Raw genomic sequence first — 18823 nt, 5'->3', positions numbered from 1 at the left:
GCAGAGCATTTTAGCAGCTGTGTCTCATTTGCTTTGCAAGGGCATTTGAAGAAATTGCTATTTTGTAAGCTGCTTAACATATGAAATAATTGTTTTAAAGCACTTTACAGTTTGCTTAGTGCTTTCTGTTGTTTTACACCGTCATTTCTTATAGAAGCTCAGGATGTATTATTTACATTTTTCAGAGAAGGAAATAGAGGTACTGAAGACATGACAGCAGCTTGGCAGGGCAGTTAATCTCCTAAATTAATCAACAGATTAAAATTTCTCCCTTCAGATCCTTTAATGCCTATGACCAGAAAGCCTCATACCTTTTGACCTAAACAGGTAGACAGACATACCTGCTTTGCTTCACAGTAATTTGCAGTCTAGCTAGTTTTGGATCTACCCTAATAAACTGCCTCAGTGATTGGAAGTCAGAACACTGTTTGGACAGATTAAACATTGTTTGGTTGTTTTTATTAAAAGTGATGTACTGGGTGGCTAAAAGCACTTGTTTTGGAGTCAGACTGCTTGGGGTTAAATCCAAGTTCCAACCTGTATCAGCTGTGTGGGCTTTGGTGAATTACTTAACCTCTCTCAGCCTCCTTTTTCTTACATGTGAAATGGGAACAATAATTGCAAATTCATGGAATTATTGTTGTGAGCCTTAATTGAATTAATCCCTATAAAGCTCTAAGCACAGCGCCCAGCACACTGTAAGCCTTCAGTAAATGTTAGCTGTCAGCGTATAGTGGTTCAAAAGGTGGTTACCTGGCCATTTTTCCTGAGGTTCATTTAGGTTGATTTGTTTCATGAAATTATACATCTGGCCCAGTCAAGACCAGATATCTTAGTGGTCTTAACAGATAATTGGTGGGTAGACAGAACTTGTACTAGTGCTTCCTCTGCTTTAGAGCGCTGTGATAATTATAACGTCTCATTCCTCTCTCTAAAACACAAAGTGGCAATGTTGTTTCTCCTGAGTAATTTGCAGCATAGACAAAGGGCCCCATTCAGTACTGCCCATGGTATTCAACCTAGCACTTTTGGAAGGGTAGCACACAAAAAGGCAAAGACAACGTGGGTTTTCTTAAAGTTCAAGGAGAAAGTAAGGTGCAGAAGAAGTAGTACTGATCTGTGTAGTTGTGAACTGGCTGTCGTTAGAACACATAGGACTCAGTCCCACATCTGCTTCTCACTTCCTGGGTAAGCTGGGCAACACATTCTGCTTCTCTGTACGTTTGTTTCTCCAATTATAAACGGGAATGATAATACCTGCAGGATGGCCAACTTGTCCCTTATTTGCCTTGGCCACTCCCATGGCAAGTGCTATGTCCCAAAAGCCTCTCAGTCCTGGGGAAAACTAGGATAGTTGGTCACCCTAAATACCTGCCTCTCTTTTCTTACTGTGTTCACCATACGGGCAGCAGAATAAAAGTGCTTTGACATTTCATGAACCGAAGAATATAATAATCAGCTCAATTCTGAACACCCAAGTTCCAAAAATAGTGCTTTGGGGTATTGGAAGAAAAACATAGCAATATGGTATATTATAGTACATTAGTTCTTAAGTAAGAATAATGCACCTTAATTCTTGGTGCCTCATTCTTGGTGCTTAGAAATATGTAACTGGAATCATGGTTTATATCATCCTTACGTGTTTACATACATGTAATTGAAAGTACACAGGAGTATTTATAGAGAACATTTAAGAAAAGTACTTTCAGGTGGTCATGACGATAATTTGCATTGGAAAAACCTCATTTGGATCATCTTAACTTCTTGAAAAGTTCTGTTTTGTACCCAAGGCATATTTTGGATGTGATTGCCATTTACAACAAATTGATTGATTGGTTTTAGAAAACCTCAAAGGAAGACAAGAGTCTGAGGAAGGTGTCATAATTGATCATCTACTTGGTATCAAAAAATAAGTACTCATTAAAGAATAATAGTACATTGCCAGTAATTAATATGAAGCAGCATTGGTGTTCCAGAGATATGCAAAAATATTAACCAATGTGCATACTCAGGAATTAGAGTAGTTTCCACAAAATGATTCATTTAGTTTGCTTTCACGTCATACAGAGATTGCACTTCAGTGGAACTTCAAAATGTATAAGCATGTGTTTGCTTGAAAAGTCAAAAGTTTGTTGATTGACTTTTATTTCTGTTTCACCCAGAGGCATCTGACTAGAATCAAGCCAATGCACACCCTATAAATGCCAAAGTGAGGCTTCTCATAGACATACACAACAAAGATACGAAACACATATGCAGTATGTATTAGTAAGAGCATCAAAATTAGCAAATTTCATTCAATTCAATTGCTTATGTAAATACAGAGAAGTAAGATGTATTTAAACAATTAGCCTCATTTTTGCTGATTTTGTGCTTGGCTTTTGAAATGGGACATGCAAACCTCTGTTAAGGGAGATTAAGGGAATTGAAGACCCTGAACTTGTCCCACACTCTTTCTTCATCTACCCTAGAGGACCAACTGCAGGCCTGGATACATGGTACTCAGTAAAGCCTTGTTAACTTACATTGAATGTTCTTTGTATTAATAATTCGAAATAACATAATGAAACCAAAGTGAGAAGGGCATGGCCTAGCATTCCACATTCAACTTTTCCCCAAGGAATGAACTACTTTACCTCTCAGGCAGAAGCAAAGAACTCATTCAAAAGCAGAGCTGAAGGCTGTTGGAGTTATTGTTGTTTATATTTCTCTGGACAGAGGAGTAATTATGTTGGCTTCAAAGGCCTTTTCTTCTACCTTCCATCCTGGCATGCTAGTGCTGGAAGAAGCCTCCATTCTGTTCCTGCATTTTACAGATGGAAACCCAGAGAAGGAAACTATTTGCCCAAGGTCACAGATGCAGACCTTCTCAGATATTTGTTAACCCTAATTTAATTTCCCCACATTTCACTGAATAGAACTGTAGGTGATTTTCTTGGCCTTGGCCCTTTTTTAGTTTCGGAAATACCCTCCTTCCTAGATGCTTCCCACCATCCAGTGTTGTCCCTATCCCACCACTTCTTAGACAACTCTCCTTCCTTCCAATGCTTTCAAATGGCATTTTCTTTGCTGTCATCTAGCACACCTGTACATTCATTCCAAGGTTTCAAGACAAGGGAATCTTCTCATTGATCCAAAGTGCTTTATTTGATATAGTGATGCATCACTCCGGGCTTCTACCAATTTCTCTGAGGCTTCAGTAATGTGAGTCAAGGTTTTGCTTTATGGTTAATTTAGCTGGTGATGAGAGCAAGCTGAAACTTGTGAGAAGAGACATAAACTGCAACAAACCGAGGTCAGAGCTGGAACAGAACCTCCAAGAAGACAGATTGCCTGTGGCTCTGAGAGCATCATTCCCTCGACAATAGTGATGCAGACAGAAAGTAGAAAAATGACAGTCTCTGTTGAGGGGCAGATGAGGGCACAAAGGTTTTTCAAGACTCAGTCCCACAGAGAGGAAATCTGCTTGAATTTATTCAGGCCTCTTCCTTTTAAATCCTGATTACCCTTGGCTCTGCTAGGTGCCGAAATTTATGCATCAGCAACAGGTGATTCTTATGTAAGAATGGAATCTCGGGCGTGATAAATTTGGTCTTGAGAAATCTCAGCTCAGTGGCTGCAGATGGCGGTGTCATGATGGCAGAGTTAGAGAGCGGTGACCTGCTGGGCTGTGGGCTGTCTGTAAAATGGCTACTCTGTTCAGAACTGTCTGAGCCAATTCTCCGAGCCTCAAGGTCATGACCAAGAGGCACAGCCCAACTGTAAAGTTGACATTCATTCTAGCAACGTTCTTCCTTCTCCCTTGCACACTGCATCTGGCTCACTCAAGGGTCCCTCAAGAATTGGGTTGTAACCTGTGTTCTTTGTGAATACCTTTATCATTGGGGATCTCTGTCCATCATGACTAGTCCTATTAAGGGTCAATTCTATGCTTGTAAAGAGTTGCTTACACTAGAGGATTTGCACCAACTGGGTTGGGTTGGCCAAGGAGACATTTCTGTGCACTCATCCCGGTCAGGTTCTATCTGTGATCTAGGTCCCTTTTTAGTGGCAACTTTTAGTTCGCAGTTTCTTAGCCTTGGTTTTGAAGAGTTTTGAAATCCCTGAAAAGTACACATGCACACAATTATGAACATATATGCCTCTCTCTAAGGAGAGGGTCTACCACTTTTATAAAATTGTTATAGGAGTCTGAGACCCAATGAATAATAAGAGTCACTACTGTAGATGGAGAAAATATTCTGAAGCAACCCTTGTTTCCTTACAACTAGATTTCCCACTTTGAATTTTGGATTGAAACTGATCAGAGGTAAGCAACACAAGGCAAGCTTGGGTCCTGGCTTAGACCCTGCCTCTACCTTTCCTGAGTATGTGAGCTTAGACATGCCACTTCTCTATGTCTCACATCCTTATTTAGAAAATTGATTAAAATGGGGAAAATATTACCCACCTCATTATGCCATTGAGAATTAAATGAGAATATATGTAAATCGTGCAATGCACCGGGCATTTGAGAAGTATTCAAAAACCAGTAGCTAATAGTGGTGGGAGCCCCATGGAACTCATGTCCCCAGAGCATGTGGACTGATGGCCAGTGCCGTGTGTCTTCTTCCCTTCTGCATTTTTAACTTTTTCCTGCCTTTGTCTATTCACTGAGTCATTATGAGATTCCTCATAAGTATCAACATATTTTAACCACAACTCTTTTAAAGTGTTTTTACAGATTTAGGGGGTATAAGTGCAAATTTCTTACATGCATCTATTGCACAGTGGTAAAGTCTGGGCTTTTGGTGAACCCATCACCCAAATAGTGAACATTGTACTTAACAGGGAATTTTTCAACCGTCACTCTTCTCCCACTCTCCCACCTTTTGGAGTCTCCAATGTCTATTTTTCCACTCTGTATGTCTGTGTGTGCCCATTGCTTAGCTCCCACTTATAAATGAGAATATGTGGTATTTGACTTTCTAGTTCGAGGTTATTTCCCTTAGGACAATGGCATTCGGTTCCATCCATGTTGCTGCAAAAGACATGATTTCATTTTTTTTTTTAAGACTGAGCAGTAATATATGATTTAATCACCACTTTGAGAATATGTTATCTCATATTCTGAGATGCCATATTCTCATCTTTAAGCCTACTTCCTATGGGCAAATAATAATTCGTGTTAGACTCCCAGCACCCTATTAACAAGTGTTACTTTTCTTTGAAATGAACATGTTTTAATAATTTTTAAAATTTATTAATGATATGTAATGTGTATTTTAGCTACAGACATTTTTCCTACCTTACTTGTCTTTCTCTTCTCCATTCTTATTCTTATTCCTCATTCTTCTCTCCAAAGACCCCTGCAAACATGACTTACCTTGGAAACTATAAGAAAGGATGGCCTTATGTGAGGACACTCATCATCCTGGCGTTAATGTGCTTCTCTTCTATTTGGCATTTGAGTCCAACACTACCTGATCTCAGTCCTTCTTTTTAGAATCAATATTTCCATAGCAAGTGTAGCATCATCTTAAATGGGGAATCCCACTTTTTTTTTTTAAAGCTAGAGATGGCAGTTTGGTGGGATTGGCCAAAAATAATTTGAAGAAAGAATGCACTAAGGGTGAAAATGTTATGTTTATAAAAATATTATGAAAGCTAAATGTGATGCACTTGAAAAATGTGGCAGGATATTTCACTGTATATTCATGAAATCTGTATCTAAACTATATCAATAAATACTATTCAAGAGAATATAAAAATTTCTTCCATGTATGCATTTCTGTTCATCTAGCTCATTGCTTAACCACAGAAGGTTATAATAATAATAATAAAAACAAACAAAATAAATGTTTGTTAGATGGATATTTATATTACAATGTAAATAACTTATTATTTATATTTTATTTATGTTATGCCCATAAGGAAAATACAATAGTCCTCTGTGTAACGTGTTGATGAACATAATATTTTGGAAGCTCAGTTAACTGAAAAACCACTAAAAGAAAGTGCCTTCTATGTTTGTTTTCTATGACAAATAGAAATTTTACAGACTATGGATGTAAGACTTTTGAGTGAACCTTTGTGAGTGTGTGAATTGCCATTTAGTTTCTTAGCAGTTTTCTCATTACATTCGTTCAGATAGAACAATTCTTTAGGAGGCCACAGCAGTCTTGTGGATGTGCACCCTTCCCTCTTTATCTCAATCTTGGATTTCATAAAAGAAATAACAAGCAAAATTAGAATGGTATGGGCCTGCCTGACTCAGGGGCGTCCAACCAAGTAAGGGCAACAGCATGTGCTGCAAGAAGTTTCAAGAGCCTGTTGTCCCAGTGGGAGGACTCGCCTGAGAAGTTAGGGTGGAAGGATAGCAGCGTGGCTGGGATATAGCTCCCTACAGCAGCCAAATTCTTCATGAGGTGTCACTGAGCCTTGGGCATTGGGGCATTCAGAAGCAAGTGGGCATGTGCAAGGACCATAGAAACAGGAAGGTCACAAGAGCAAAAGAGAATGAAACAAAGAATTTATCTCCCAAAGGAACAGTGCCGTTTTTCTTTCCTGTATTGCTCTAAGAGTCCTGTATTCACCTTCGGTTACTCAATACTGTATTTCAGGTGTGTTCCTCGTATCCTTGCTTATACTGCTCATTAACCCTCCTTGTTTTACAAAAACATTTAAGCAAACGCAACCTTGGTTCTTACCTGGTATTTCTGTTAGGGAATGAGAAAAAGTAATCCATATTTATTAGACATCTATAGGTGCCAGGTGACTTTATGTACTCTCCAACTCAACATGTCTTAGATGGAAAAAACTGATTATGAGGAAGTTAAGCAACTTATCCAGAGCTTCCACCTAGGTGGTAGGACTGTTTGCAGCCCTTGGCTGTCTGCCTCTGTATTTCTACATGGTAACTCCTTAGGACCAAAAGAAAATTCTGAGAACCTGGATAAAAGGACATGCTTGGTGATAAGAAATATTCTGTTTGAAGATTTATTTTCTTGCTTCCATGCACTCCTTTTGTATACAGGCCAATACAGGGGGACACTCATTTTTTCTCCACATATGTAAGCTTGAGTCTTCCCCCATCTTTCCTGCTAATGCAAATACAAAGGTCCTATGTTAGAGATCAGGGTCCATGACTTCACTTCTGGTATAGGGCAGGCCAGTATGGTTATGGGAGGTAAAAATCTGGAACAGAGACGATTTGTCAGAGCCAGATCAAAGGGTTGTGTATGGCCAAATACTGGAACTCCTTGGTTTTCCTTTTATTCATCTTGATGTTTAAAGTAGTTGCACTTGAGCTTGAGTTTATTCTAAAACAATGTTGTAACTCACTTCTGGGTTCCTTTTTCAAGTAGTTTATTTAGTGTTTAAATTCCTGTGCTTCTACCTTGAAAATTTCCCAGATGCCTTTCCTCCTCATCCTCTATCCCTGCTACTCTTTCCCACTGAGATTGAATCCCTGGTGAAAAATACTACACTGACTGCCAAGTGCAAGGCAACAGATATCTCTGTGAAAACTAAGTTAAACAAAATCTGACCACTTCTAACAACTTGCTGAAACATACTGAAACATCTCGTGTGTTAGTACCAAGGTCAGGGAGCCCAGACTACACTTGAGCACAGGCATTTGAATCTGTCAAATGAGTCAATCAAATGGGAATGTTGGGTTTTTTTGGCTGATGCATGTCAATATTGCTAATGCATAAAATATATCTGTTTGCTATATCACAATTTGCCGTCACACTAAGCCATAAGTTTAAGGAGTGACTGATGTACTGAGCACATTTGTCTTTATAAGAAGTTCTGCTATAAAGACACATGCACACATATGTTTATTGCGGCACTATTCACAATAGCAAAGACTTGGAACCAACCCAAATGTCCAAAAATGGTAGACTGGATTAAGAAAATATGGCACATATACACCATAGAATACTATGCAGCCATAAAAAATGATGAGTTCATGTCCTTTGTAGGGACATGGATGAAATTGGAAATCATCATTCTCAGTAAACTATCGTAAGAACAAAAAACCAAACACTGCATGTTCTCACTCATAGGTGGGAATTGAAGAATGAGAACACGTGGACACAGGAAGGGGAACATCACACTCTGGGGGCTGTTGTGGGGTGGGGGGAGAGGGGAGGGATAGCATTGGGAGATATACCTAATGCGAAATGACGAGTTAATGCGTGCAGCACACCAGCATGGCACATGTATACATATGTAACTAACCTGCACATTATGCACATGTACCCTAAAACTTAAAGTATAATAATAATAAAATAAAAAAAAGAAGTTCCTTGTTGCAGAGGCAGATGAATTTTGTTGAAGAATTTTTAGTCTCCTCTTTCCTCCTTTCCTCATCTCTCCCTGCTCACCTGCCTCCTTTGTGCTTCCTCAACACTTCTACAAGAGAAGTACTTTCTCTTTTCTTTTTTTTTTATTTGAGACGGGATCTTGTTCTTTGCCAGGCTGGAGTGCAATGGCACTATCTCAGCTCACTGCAACCTCTACCTTTCTGGTTCAAGCGATTCCCCTGCCTCAGCCTCCCAAGTAGCTGGGACTACAGGCGTAGGCCCCCACGCACAGCTAATTTTTTATATTTTAGTAGAGATGGGGTTTCACCATGTTGGCCAGGATGGTCTCGATCTGCTGACCTCATGATCCACCTGTTCAGCCTCCCAAAGGGCTGAGATTACAGCCTTGAGGCACCGCACCTGGCTGAGATGTACTTTCTCATTGCCCATGGACAATGCTAGCACACATGCAATTATTTGTGTATCATCCACCTTCCTCGCTAGAGTGGAAATTCCATGCAGACCTGTTTTCTCACTCATATATAATTCATCTGCAAGTCACTGGTGCCAAGCACAATGGTTGGCACAAACTAGTCATTCAGTAGATACTTGTTGAATGAATGCAGGATACAATGAATGGAAGAAGCACACTAGTTTATTTTGCTTCATGTTTGGCTTTGCTGAAACATTTGGATTTTTTTAGTATTATTCACTCATACTGCTTCTCTCTCTTCCTCAGTCAATATTTACTGGGTGTCTTTAGTGTGTCAGGCACTGGACTAAGTGCCAGGATGAGTGAGATGTGGTCCCTTCTCCCATGGAAGGTCCAGAGTGGGCTGCAAGTATCATGTTGGTTCTGAGTCAGTCAGCCATGCTTGGTGAATCACAAACCACTGTGGGTGGAGCCTTGAAGTGGCTCTTTGTGGGAGGATGCAGAGGAGGAAGATATTTTCCTCATTCATGAGGCTCTCACAGTCCATAGGCTAGTGAACAAATAAGTACATGAAATGCATAATATATGCCTAGCAAAAAGAAACAGTGGAGTATAGTACAAATGACTTGGGATACTTTTAGAGATAAAACAATGAGATTTTCTACCTGATGTGAAATCTCCCTGACTTGTTCAGCTAATATGTAATTTATTTAACAACTATTTTTTGTGTACTTCTGTATGCCCGAAAGTATGCCAGGGATGGGCACATGGCAGTGAACAAGAAATGTGTGAGACTGCGTCTAAGGAAGGTGCAGGCCAAGATGTCTAACTCAGAGGTGAAAATGAGAGTGAGTATGAGTGGGAGACATGAGAGTGAGAGAGTAATATGGAAGGAGAGGGACAGTAAGAAAGTCGGAAACCACATCTAAAGGCTCTTAGTACTCTATTTTTTAGGCCCAAAGAATTCTGAAGATGGTGGCTGTCACTTAAGGAATTTTAACTCTCTCCCTTAGAAACTTTTTCAAGGAAAAGCTTGGTATTGTTGAGGTGACAGAACCTGAGTGTCTTAGCCTCTTTGTGCTGCTATGACAGAATACCACAGACTGGGTAGTTTGTAAAAAATTGAAATTTATTTTTCCTATTTCTGGAGGCTGGGAGGTCCAAGATCAAGGTGCTGGTGGGTTCTGTTGTCTGGTGAAGGCTACATCCTCCAGAGGGGTACAGCCTCCTCTGTGTCCCCACATGGCAGAATGATGCGTGAAGTCTCTTTTATAAGGGCCTTAACCCCATTCATGAGAGAGGACCCTTCATGGTCTAACCACCTCTTAAAGGCCCTACCTCTTAATACTACCATATTGGCAACACCTGAATTTTGGAGAGGACACATTCAAACCATAGCGGTGAGTTTACTAGAATTATGACAAATGTTTAAATAGCATCAGCAATCTAGGTTATTGGTAGACTAGCTTATTTCCAGATGTCTTGTTTAACCGTGACCTAAGATTTCCAGTGAATTTTAGAGTTTAGCCCCACCGTCTCTACTATCCATACTCTATTAACCTTTTTTTTAAAGTCTGTTCCCACTTTTAAAATAGCTAGAAGCATCCAATCTTGTGTTCATTTAGTGCATATTTGGTACTTGCTGTGTGTTAGACAGGGTTCTAGACCCTAGTAATTCATTAGCCCAAAATCACTACCCTGTGTTAGCATCAATAATTTTGGCCTTCCCTTATAAGATACATTTCAATGTGTCTCTGAGTCTTTAGACTCCAGCTTTTGATAAAAGGACTTATAATAAGGTTTGTGATTTGCTTTTAATTTCTAAAAGAATATGGAGCACAGTTGAATAACATAGAAACTCTAGAATTAAAACAATTTGAGATTTTCAAGGGCATGGCCCTTTAAATAGTCCTAAATCACCACTTTATTTTGTCAGGCTCACCGGCAAAGGCAAGGCAGGGCTCAAGGGGCAATTACCTTCTATGCCATGGCTAAATGAAGTGTGTTTTCTTTTCAATATTGACTGAAATCTCAATCCATCTTGGGCACAAGGCTAGGCACTGTCACATGCTATTTCTTTGCATTGTTCCAATAGCCTTGTGAAATATATCTCATCGTTATTCCAATTTTACAGATAAGAAAATTGGGGCTCTAAGTGGCTAAGGAAGGCATCCAACACCATACCCCTAATAAATAAGGTAGAGAGGACTGAAATCCAGATTTATTGACTCCAAAGTCCTTTCTTAGGTAGAAATCTCTTTCAGAACATTCTTATTAAGACGTAGAGCCTTTTCTTGGTGACTCTAAGAAACGCTTCTGTATCTGAAGACAAAAGGAAAAGTTAATTTGGTTTTGGATTTTGCCTTCTAAAACCTTTGGGGTTTATTGGGTGTTACTATCACTTGCCATTTTTTGTCCTCTACACTTAAAATATGCTATACAGCTCCCTTCAACTCAGCCATCTGTGTTCTTGGCTTTTAATTTTCATAAAAATGGCTGGACACATTCTTCTTATTTCATAAATACCCAAGGCCAAAGAGAGATATTTTATTGGCATTTTTCAGTAATCTTTCCCTAACATTGTTTTTCATATCTGTTCCAAAGCCTTTATATTATTCTACCTTTCTTATGTGTGTGTGTTGTGTTGTGTGTGTGTGAGAGAGAATATATTTGTTATATTATTTGTTATAGTTATTATGTTAATATATTTATTATAATTATGATACAAATGTATTAGAAATTAAAATGGTATGTTTTAATCATTTAGAACCAATGCTCAGATAATGTCCTTACTAGTTGGTTTTAATAATTAAAGACTATAAGGAGCATGGGTGAATAGGAAGCAGCTTCTGAATTTGAAAGGTGTCCAAATGATAGCCCAAGGACCAAAGACAGCTCAAACCAGGTTTGAATAGTTCATTTTATATGGCTTATATACAGACCTACCTAAAGTCAGGGAATTGGATTAGTCATGGGTGTAGAATTTTACAACTTCAAGGTGCATTTAAGATCCATCCACTACATTGTAGAGAAGAAACTATATTCTGGAAAGGTTAGTGATTTGCCCAAAGTCAAACAGGAAGTCAGAACATGATCTAAACCGGCAATTCTCAAACTTTTATCTGTAAATAGACTGAGATTAACGCCTCATCAGAAATATGACGGACAAATATTTTCTCCCATTCAGTAGGTTACCTTTTCACTCTGTTGATTGTTTCCTTTGCTGTGCAGAAGCTTTTTATTTGATATGATCCTACTTGTCTATTTCTGCTTTTATTGCTTGTGTCTTTGAAGTCATATCCAAAGTAGTATTGCCAAGAACCAATGTCAGGATAGTTTTTCCTATTTTTTTTTCGAGTAGTTTTACAGGTTCAGATCTTACTTTTAAGTCTCTAACTTGTTTTGAGTTGATTTTTGTATATGATATGAGACAAGGGTCTAATTTCATTCTTCTGCATATGGATATGCAGTTTTTCTAATATCATTTATTGAAGAAACTATTCATGTCTCCATTTTTCTGTGTCTTCTTTCATTTGCTAAGCAGGTAAATCTTAAGTGTTTTCACCACAAAAAAGAGAAAGAAAGGAAGAAAGAGAGAGAAAGAGAAAGAAGTATGTGAAGTAATGGATGTGTTAATTAGCTTCATTGTGGTGATCATTTCACAATGTACACATAAATCAAAATATATACATTTCACAATGTATACATATATCAAAACATTAAGTTGTACACCTTAAATATGTACAATTTCTATATGTCAATTTTGCCTCAAAAAAGCTGAAAAAAAAGAAAAATTGTTTACAACACAGATCCCAGGATCTCAATTTCAAAGAATCTGATTCAGATCAGGGGTGGGTCCCACGAATCTTTAATAATTAATAAGCCTCCTGGGTGATTTGGCTGCAGGTGGTCCTGAGACCACACTTTAAGAAACACTAATCAAGAATCAAGGCCTTATGACTCTTAGTCCTGTTTCTTCCCAAAGGACTATGTTGCCTCCCTACATTCGAAAACATTCCAAACAATACATAAGAGTCTTTGTAATTCACATTAGTGCTCGTATTTACTGACTCAACAATTAATTCCTGATTGAGTCATTCATTGAGTAATTTTCTTTTACTCAGTCAGCCTCTGTGGTTTGCCAGGAGCTACAAATAAAAGATTAAAACACAGTCACACCTCCAAGGAACTCATATAATAGTAACAGAAGTAACTACCATTTCTTGAGCACTTTATTTATACATACGTCATACAGTTTATCTCATTCACCTATCTCATTCCCTGCCTTTCAGTAAGCCTGTATACTATTATAACCGCATAGTTTGGGAATATTTCATATATATATATATATATATATATATATATGTATAATCACATATATTCTCTTCAACTTGTTCTTTACATTTAATATGTCTTAAAAGTATTTCTTTGTCAGTTCTTGCTTTATATATGTCTAGTATTTCTTTATAAGGGCTACAGAGTATCCCTCAGCATTGATATTCATCAATACTGGTGATGTATCTGATGATTCCCATATTGATGAATAGTAAATCGTTTACATTTTCACCTTTTACAAATAGCATCCTGATGGATTCCGAAGTAGATATTATTATATCATTTTATAGATAAGGAAATAGAGAAAAGTTCATTACCTTGTCCCCCAATGGCAGACCTTGGATTCAAATGGAGTCCTGTCTATCTCAAAGACTACAAAGTTCCTTTCTTTTTACTATGATGCCTTTTAATAGTTCCAGTGAGGTGAGAGCTGGATGAGGTGGGTACAACAGAATCATCAAAAACCTGGCCGTTGATGGGACCTCAGAGTCACTTGAGGAAGCAACATTTGAGCAGCATCTAGGAGCCTTCTGGGAAAAGATGGAGAAAACTAAAGACGTTAGGTTTATTGCAAACCAATCAATCATACTCACTGATCACCTACTAGAGGAAACCTGTGATAACACTTGTGGGGAGATTTATAGAAAGAAGACGTATTTGCACATCAGGATTTTACATCATGATGTGTGCCTGTGTGTGTCTGAAAAATACTAGCATAACAAGCTGGTGAGTACACTATGAAAAAAAACAACAACACCTACTTCATTTGGCAGAGCACCAGAAATGAGGGGGTAATGAGGTCCTGTCTTTGTGGCATGGTAAAAAAAAAAAAAAAAAAAAAAAAAAAAAATTGCCCTCTTAATTCAGTTTCTTCTTCTGAAATGAAGAAAGTAAGATCTAGCCCCTGCATACTTGACAGGATGTTGCAAGGCTTGGTTAATTTCTGTAAATGTTTTGAGCTCCTCTGAGGTGTGTGTTCTGTAAATAGGAGGTATTAATAGCAGCCGTCAGAACTGAAACAAAACTGAATTGAGCTGCAGTCATTTTCCGGGAAAGAAACACAAACACCCATAAAGCATGAAGCCCATACTGGATCTGTCACATTGGTCCTTCTTTAAAAGGCAGCTTGGGTCTCATATAGGACATGGTGACAGCTCAGGCCCTAATCTCAAGTGGGAAAATTCAGGAGACTAGCTGGATTTTCTAACATTTAATTTCCCAGCTGATTACTATGATTAAGAGTCCATCTGGCGCAGCCCATTTGTGAGGTATGTGTGTGCAGGGAAGTGGGAATCTAGTAAAGGCAGAGATCTAACAGAAAAAAAAAAAAAAGAAAGAAAATGCACAGTAGAGACAGTGCCATATTAGAGCCCTCCGCTAGGATGTTTAAATAGGAATTTCGTCGTATTAGCGTTAGTGAGGCCAGTTGGCCATATGTTATAAGAAAGGCAGTTAGAGAGAGAGGGGTTTCTGTTTTCAGGGCTTTTATGTTAGCTTAGTGAGGATTTGGTGATGCCTTTGTCTGCCATGGGTCTAGAGGGGCTGTGAACTGCTAAGAAGAAAATCTAGCTCTGGGTTTCAGCAGTAAAATGCCAGCATCTCTACCTGCAAACTGGCATCGACTAAGCAGTTGCTGGGGAGACACGCAGTTACGCTTCTGCACATGGATGGGGGGGGTGATAATTTAGGATGGGGGTACCCTGGAGCTCACAATCTACTTGCTCATATCCCCCGAAAGGAAGCTCTGAGGAGAGGTTTGAGGCAGCCATGTGTTAGCTCTCATATTGTCATGGCCCCTTCAGGGTAACTGCATTTCCCAAATCTATCCAGGGGCAAGTCGATCTTATAAGCACTAATAGGACTTACAGATGTGCAGACATGAAGGTTCTGATGCTCAGCTCAACTCCTGGATGGAATTTCTCATAATTTTTTGTTACCCAGGGGATTCTATGTAAACCTGTTCCAGACAGAGTTTTTATTGTACTTTATTTGTAATCTCCAACCAGGCTTCCCCTTTGGAGGTCAAGCCTCTAAGTCTCCTTGAAAATTCCTACCTCAGAGGTAGGGGCTCCTGTCTCCTGTGGTCATTGCTTTTGCTGGGGACTCCAGGTCCACCAGGAAAACTCATCAGCAACTTGATCTTAATCCCTGGCTGCATGCACACAGGTCACTGAAAAACATCTGGTGGCCCTGACCCTTCCTGTTCATTTACCAAATGTACTGAAAGTGGGGAGGGACTGGAGAACACATTTTTCTTCCTCGCTGGTGACAGAGGGATGAACTAGTTGATGGTCCAACTTCATGAGGACCTGTGAGCCCTATCTATTTTGCTCATAAAAAGGACCGATGACCTCTGTTCAATGGCTGGAAAGTCTCCATCTCTGTGGGCCATTATGGTAGCTCCTGAGGGCTAAGGGGAAGAAAGCGTCCTCTGCCTCATCTTGGAAATGTGGAAATAGAGTGGGTTTCCCTGCAGGTTGGAATCAATACCCAACTGCCTTGTCTCTGGGGAAGGTGGATTTCATGGCCTACCATATGAGTTCAGCAGAGAAATCTAGATCAATAGGAGTGAGAGAGTCTGTAATGTGGTGCCTTTAGGCATCTGTATCTGAAAAGGGACTTTTATTTGAATTACTTGGACCTTAGACTGAGGCTTCACCTCCATGTAGGAACAGCAGTCCATTAGTGATCCTTTGAATTTATAGTGAGACCTCGTTCACAGTGATAAAGCTTCCTTAGGGCCTAAGGTCTTCTGGTGCCTCTGTTTGTGGCTGAGTGTCCTAAATAAAGGGCAAGTCTGCTACTTTTATGTCCTATTCGGCCATAGCTGTCTAACCTTGTAGCGAGAGGGAGCCTGGCAAAGTCAATAAGGTAAGATGGAAAGCATCCACAGCTCATTACAATGGCTTCTTCTCGCCCTTGCTTGCCCTCACTCATCACCAAGAGTTTGTTTCCCAGTCTTCCCAGAAGAAATAGTCATGCCAGTCTTGTCATGTTGCATTGGCCCGAGAGAGGTTTTTGTTGTAAAATATATTGTCTTACTTAGATTCTAAAGAGAATTAGACTTAGGATTAATGGATTTGAGGGTGCTGGCTGCACCAGACTTTCTCTTTTTCTTGATTTTTTGCTTTTAACAGAGGCTTAGCTATCAGCAGGTTTGTATCTTCCAGTGATGGGTAAAAGGGGATGGGAATTATTTTGTGTTTTTTTTCTACCTTGCTCTAGTAACTTAGATTGTGCCCTAAAGATTATGTGAATAAAATGTGCCAGACCTGGTTAATGCAAGATAAAAATCAACCTGAACTCCTTCTTTATTAGCAAGAATGTCCAGAAATGATATAATAATAAAAATATTCTTCTCAGGAATCCAAATACTGATCACAGAGAAGCTGCTGAATAGCTTTCTCCCATTGTCATGGGAAAGATAAAGACCTGCCAATACAGAAAAAGTTTGGGGTCAGCCAGGAATGGCAAATATTTGGTCTACATTTTATCATCAACCTTCTTCCCCCATGGCAGTGATGACTTACTAAGTGCTTATAAAACTCTTTCCTACCAAGATCAGACATGATTTCAGAATACTTCTCACTTTCCAAAAAGCCCCAATCAGTCCATTAGAGTTGGAGTAAGTGGTTTAATTTTTAAAAATAAAAGTAAAAAATGGTGGCATCTCAACTTCTCATGGTACGATTAAAATGTCTGCAGAAGGAGTTTTGGACTGCATCTGTGATTTTTCCCAGCCTTTTCTGTTTACAAATCATTTAGATGCGAGTCAAGATTTGACTTTCCACTTACCCCACCCATTCTTGCCTACCACCCCAAAAATACCACACCAAAAGAAATGGGAAATATGACCCTGCTTCTATGAGCCATCCATGAGGTGATGTCTGGTTCGCATTAAATGTCAGAAATAAATTATTTATGTAAGATGAAAATACAGATGTAATTATATTATGGATTAATTTTACCCAAGAATAGCATCTTAACCATTTGAATGCCCCCCGAGAGACACTAGCAATTTTTAAGTATACATTAATAACCACTTGACTTGTGGATATATAGAAAACATAAATATTTTACATAGGATACTTTGTACTTGATACCCTCTCTTCAAATCTTGAATTTGTCCTCTCCTCAACCCTGTCCATGTATAAAAACAATACAAATTCGGAGAGCATTGACAATTAACTCAGGTAATGGAAAGATGGGCTTTAGTTTTAGTCTAGATAGTATAAACCATTTTGCAGAATTGTGAGTGAGGCCTGTCATCTGTTGCTTATGATCAGAATGACAGAAACGTGCCAATGGATTGGCATGAGTAGAATACATGTCTGGAGACCATTCTCAACCTGAATTTATCTCTGATGCCAGTCCCCAAGATGAGCCATTGGTTGCTTATTCTTTGGGGTCACCCAAGATGGCAGCACTGAAGGCCACATGGCTGGGGTTTTCTATACCTTGGGATTACATGTTATACAAAACAGCTGACTGACAATGCAGAATGAGGGAAGGGACACCTCCAAATTCCTTCAGCCAGACCTAGAACCCTCTCACCAGTTTAAAAAGGGGAGAAAAATCTGAATTCTAAAGCTGTCATTACAATAATATACGAGCTTGGGAAAGACACTTAACTTTTCCTCTATGTCAACTCTCTATGCAATGTGGAGTGATAATACCAACTGGACTTGGGAGACAATTGCTGAATGATGTGTAAAGCATTTCACAATCTGGAGCATTAGCTCATAAACGATGGAGGTAGAACATTCTGTTCCTTAACCTGTATGTAGAGTATAAAACTGAATTTTAGGGTGGAGTAAAGGAAGGTCACTTTACACAATGTGAAAAAGATGTGTTCTTTCACTTCAAGGCTAGAAGTGAGAGATTTGGATGACAAGTACTTGAGTCTGCTTACAAATCTACACATATATGCAAACATGTCCCAATACCCCTGTTGGAAATAGAAGTTGTGTTACTTTATTCTTTGAGATGTGTCTGGGTAGCATTTTAATTTTCCAGCCACTGTTAATTTGGTTATTTTTCCTTCTGCATCTCAAAAAACAACAACAACAACAACAAAAAAACAAGCTTCTTAAGGATTTTCCAGTATGTTTTTTAAAACTATATTTTTTCTATCTGAAAGTTATCCAAATGCACTTATGTGTCTGGTGCAGTCTCCCTTCCAGGCTGGCCTAGCCATGTTGCTTGTTTCTTTCCTAATAGCTTTCATTTTTCCACGAAGAACTGGTAAGGTTGGAGGGAGGGGAGGTGGTGGTAGAATGAAAGGTGTCTCATGTGTTTTCTGTTCTTTAGAGAATTTGAGAAAGCAGTGAGCCAACTTACAATAGAAAGCATTTTCTTTGGCAATCTACATGGGAAAGAATCCTCTATTTTAGGATCATTTGTTGCATTGATCCTGTAAATTAGTTCTTCCTCTCTTTGATCATATAGAATCACGCAGTATCCTAACAAATATGTCTTCACATTAGGGTGAGACAATTCTCTCAATCCCAGCAGGCAGGAAAAATAGGCCAACAGGTGCCTAGGCAGGATATCCTGGGATTCAGGCTACTGCAGTTTCATGGACAAATGAAAAAATGCAGGTGTCACTGCCCTGCCCCCAGGCCAACCAGGTCACAGGGTAATTGCCCAGTTGCCTGCTGAGATATGCCCACCCTGAGCTTCTCCCTCCAGGTTCATTTTTCATTTTGATTGAGTCATGATGGCTTAGTGCCATAAAACATCTGAGGATATGCTTTGTAGGGAA

General features: G+C 39.2%; 1 long non-coding RNA gene across 10 annotated transcripts in view; it reads left to right on the top strand.

Moving 5' to 3' along the window:
- MIR100HG (mir-100-let-7a-2-mir-125b-1 cluster host gene) overlaps positions 1-18823 on the top strand; it is a 394543-nt gene that overhangs the window by 242764 nt on the left and 132956 nt on the right. The window lies entirely within an intron of this gene.

The sequence above is a fragment of the Homo sapiens genome, chromosome 11, assembly GCF_000001405.40.
Source record: "Homo sapiens chromosome 11, GRCh38.p14 Primary Assembly".
Lineage (NCBI taxonomy): Eukaryota > Metazoa > Chordata > Mammalia > Primates > Hominidae > Homo > Homo sapiens.
This window is presented reverse-complemented; position numbering and strand designations above follow the sequence as displayed.